The 4,180-nt window shown below is 38.0% G+C and overlaps 2 annotated features.

Moving 5' to 3' along the window:
* Positions 295-3,473: an enhancer, noted in NCBI's record as "VISTA enhancer hs1555". NCBI's record gives its function as "enhancer in: neural tube[4/5] | hindbrain (rhombencephalon)[4/5] | midbrain (mesencephalon)[4/5] | liver[3/5]" and the evidence as "EXISTENCE:transgenic organism evidence [ECO:0001131][PMID:17130149]".
* Positions 1,753-2,283: an enhancer, noted in NCBI's record as "OCT4-NANOG-H3K27ac hESC enhancer chr2:104018104-104018634 (GRCh37/hg19 assembly coordinates)". NCBI's record gives its function as "activates a minimal SCP1, AML or CMV promoter by ChIP-STARR-seq in primed H9 embryonic stem cells {active_cell/tissue: H9 hESC(primed)}" and the evidence as "EXISTENCE:reporter gene assay evidence [ECO:0000049][PMID:30033119]".

Genomic DNA, 4,180 nt, shown 5'->3' on the forward strand with positions numbered 1-4,180 from the left:
TAAAGGTAGACTTTTCCTAAGTATATGTCCTGGTATATTCAAGCATGTGGGCTTCCCTGGTAGAATGGTTATATTCCAATACTTCAGATAGATAGAGAAAATCATGATTAGCTTCCATGAGAAAAAGGTCCATCAAAGTTACAAACCTAACAACAATAACATAAAACTATTTACTTCCCAATTTCTCTTGCACCAGTCAGTACCTCAAACCTTAGCACTTCATGACTGGACTATTAAAAGTACTCAGTTGATCTTTTGTGCTCTTGAGTCTAGATTGTCTTCAAGCATCACCTTCATCACATCCCTGTCCTGTGCAAAGGACTTCCCCAGCCTGAGACCCTCAGCCCCTTACAAATCAGACCCTGCAGGATCTAAGCCCTGCCCTTTCATACTCACTGCTCCCAACAGAGTCCTTGTAGTTCAGGACAACTACTCAGGGTTCTTGAGTAGACTTCTCTCCATAATTTACACTTGCTCCAGGGCAAATACACAATATGCACACTATATATAGAACACTATATGCTTAAAAGGAAGATGGAATGATCTGGGGTAAAGGGAGTATTTTAAAACATATGAGATTTCATAGTATCTCCAATTATTATCTCTATGGCTTTGTTGGGAAAAAGAACAAGCAAACATAAAAAATGTATCTTTGGCTATAAGAAATAAAGTGTGTGTGTGTGTGTGTGTGTGTGTGTGTGTTTGATTTCATTTTGTTCATTAAAAGTTTCCTGGAGAAAAACAGTAATATATGTGTTGACAGTTATGAAAAATTCTCATGTTTAGTATTCTTATGCACTATTATGAGGTGGGTTATGGGCATAATGAGGAAAACCTAACTAGTAGGCTGAGCTTATTCTTCTTGTCTAAATTATTAAAGGAGATACTCCTTATGGTTCATTGCCTGCATTATTCTTTCTTTTGTGGCAGGAACTGAATATCTTGAGTTCTCATCTGGTCGGTAATAATCCACATACCCATCATCATCTCTTATCCAGCACATGGGCAAATTTTACATGATTATGTTATGGAGGAAGCTCACAAGAGCATGTATGTTGTACCTACTGAAGCGGGGGTGAAGCCGAGGAGGCACCTCGCATGGTATAAAAAAGGCTAAGCTGGCGTATTCTTATAAGTTATACTAAAATTCTTTATTTCTTGACCCTGACACTAACTAGTTGTATAAAAGAAGGTAAGTTATTTACTGTATCAATCAGATTTTTCTTTGAAGAAGATTATAACCCTTTTGAATTTATGATATTAGAAGGTAGATAGGTCATATAATTTAAAGCTATTAACTTCATACATTCAAAGTAATTCTGAAAATGTCTACATTCTTTAATCTTATTTAGAACTGATGTTCCCTCAATTGCACTGAGTATATCAAAGAACTTATTTTTTTTTTCCTCCTTTTGACCTGGAGCTCTCTCCTTAAGAAATCTTGATATTGCTGATCTCGGTGAAGAATGTTGTCAGCTTTAAACTCATTCTATATGTTTCAAATAAAATCATTTGAAGTTAAGTGCAATGTAAATTTTTTAACTCCCTGTCACTAATTTAAAAGAAAAACAAAACAAAAAAAAGATTAGAAAAAGAATCTAGAGAAATGCAAGAAATAAAAAAGATGTGAGAATCAAGGGCATTTTAAATAGCAGAAAGTAGTCCCAAATGTACGTTACTGGAAGGGGACTAGCTAATGGGTTTTTAAGTGCTTATTTAACAAATGCCATAAATATAAGGACTTAAGTAACAAAAAAGAGAATTTATACTAAAGCAGCCATAACAAGCTGAAGTTAATTCATCACAACTTTCACATAGGCTTTTGTAGGCAGTTGGCCAGGCCCAGCACATTATCTATTTGACTCACTGAGTCACTGCAGCTAATGGAATTTAGCCCCATGTTTGTTGTTGCCATGGTGATGCGATATTCTCAGGCATGTCATGTTCACAGATCAGTAGCAGCAGCACGGTTGCAGACACACAACTGCTCTCAGCCTTTGACCATCAACAGGAATTCACTCTGCAGTTGGTCTGCCAGGAAGGAAGTCGGCTCAGGGGAAGGAGCTCTGGGCTGAGGAGAGGGCCCTTCCTTCTTCCTTTGTCATCGCAGTGCTATTATCATTAAAATAACCTTGAATTTTCATGAATTCGCTCATTCACAAACACTGTCAAAGAAGGTGCAAGAGTTCAAGAGAATCCGGAGGGTCAAAGAGAGGACTAGTTTTAAATCTGTGCCTATTGAACCTGGAAATGACATCGTCTGTTACATATAATCTTATTCTTACCATAGCAAATCAAATCGTGCTGACTGGCACCAACGTCCAAGGCGATTCAGCACCATGAAAGGTTACTGGGAGCAAAAGGGTCATATCTTTTGTGGCACCGCTCTGAGAAATAGACACAGACATGTGTGGGAATATTCTACAAAGAATAGATTTCTCCCCAAAGTGAAAAGCAAATCCTGCCAGCAATCTATAAAGGGAGTGGGTATTCTATGCTATAGATATGTTCAGATTTCAAACCAAAGATATAATTTTGAGCTTTTCAAGATATAAAATGCTTGAGCAAGACACAGGTCTTGTGCAAGATGTTCTAATTTGTATACAAGAAGTGATAAAGAGTAAAAACAAGATGAATTTCCTGGAAAGTATTTTTGCCAGTTGGAAATATGCTTTTATTGCATTATAATTTCCATGAGGGGTGAAATACGCAAGTAAAGCAGGCGAACTTAAAGACACTTCTGTAAACATTTGTCTATAACTCTAGGCCCTAATGCAAGGTCTGCAGTTAGTGATAACAACACAGCTTCACATTTCCTCAGGATCTTCTTTTATGCCGGGCTTGTACTGCTGGTCTAGAACACCTCAATAACGACTCCCTAAGCTTCATGGGGAATTGCTGAGGAATTTGGTTCTGGATACATACCTCAGAGGTGAAACCTGAAATCCAAACCAAGACTTCCAGAGTTAGTATTTTAGTTTTGCATTTAATTTCTGGGTACATGGGGCAGGATGATCAGGTTGGGGAGACTGGGGAAGTGAGGGTGGTGGCTTCTTAATTATTTTTGCTTTTCTTCTAGCACAGCAGTGAGAGGATATTACGTTGCAGAATTTGGTCAGAATATGAAGTTTGGAAGACCCTATATTCCTGCAGATCCTTGGATTGAGGTTAATTCGAGAGCAAGCCGTGAGTGAGGTAGCCTTTATTACTCATCATGTGTTTAAGAATGATGCAATGAGGCTTTGTTCTCTGCCTATCTGAATCACGTGGCCCAAGCAAGAGATATCTATTGAAATAGCAGATAGTAGTGTCATTCCATTATAATTACCATTATTTGAGCTTCAGAGAAGTGGCATTGAATAACTCAATTGGAGAATATGCAAGTAAAATTAACAAAACCGTACACTATTAAAAAATGACTTGGTAGATTTCTTCCAGAAAACTTAGAAAACAGAATCTCATAGCTCTCTGCATACTTTATGTCAGGCCTCTGAGCTCAAGCCTGCACGTATACATCCAGATGGCCTGAAGTAACTGAAGAATCACAAAAGAAGTGAAAATGGTCAGTTCCTGCCTTAACTGATGACATTACCTTGTGAAATTCCTTCTCCTGGCTCATCCTGGCTCAAAAGCTCCCCCACTGAGCACCCTGTGACCCCCATCCCTGTCCACCAGAGAACAACTCCCTTTGACTGTAATTTTCCACTACCCACCCAAATCCTATAAAATGGCCCCACCCCTATCTCCCTTCGCAGACTCTCTTTTTGGACTCAGCCCACTGCACCCAGGTGAAATAAACAGCCTTGTTGCTCACACAAAGCCTGTTTGGTGCTCTCTTCACACGGACGCGTGTGACACTTCATGATTACTTTTATTTGGACAAAGAGAAACCCTTGAATAATGAAGGTTCTCACATATAAAATGTGCTTTTAATTTTTAATACCTTACAAAATTATCAGATTAAATGACGTGGTAAAAAGTCATATGTAGGTTAACATCAGATGTTATCGTTCATTGCATCTTCTGGTCAGATAATACTGAGGTTATTGAAATATACAATGGCCTCAAATGCATTAAGAGCAAAAATAAAAAATTTCCCACTAGTTAGCAATTTAAAAAAAGTTGTCAAAATAATTGTTTCCTGATAATATCTACCAGAAGCATTTATGCTCTCATAGAC

This window comes from Homo sapiens, chromosome 2 (assembly GCF_000001405.40).
Source record: "Homo sapiens chromosome 2, GRCh38.p14 Primary Assembly".
NCBI lineage: Eukaryota > Metazoa > Chordata > Mammalia > Primates > Hominidae > Homo > Homo sapiens.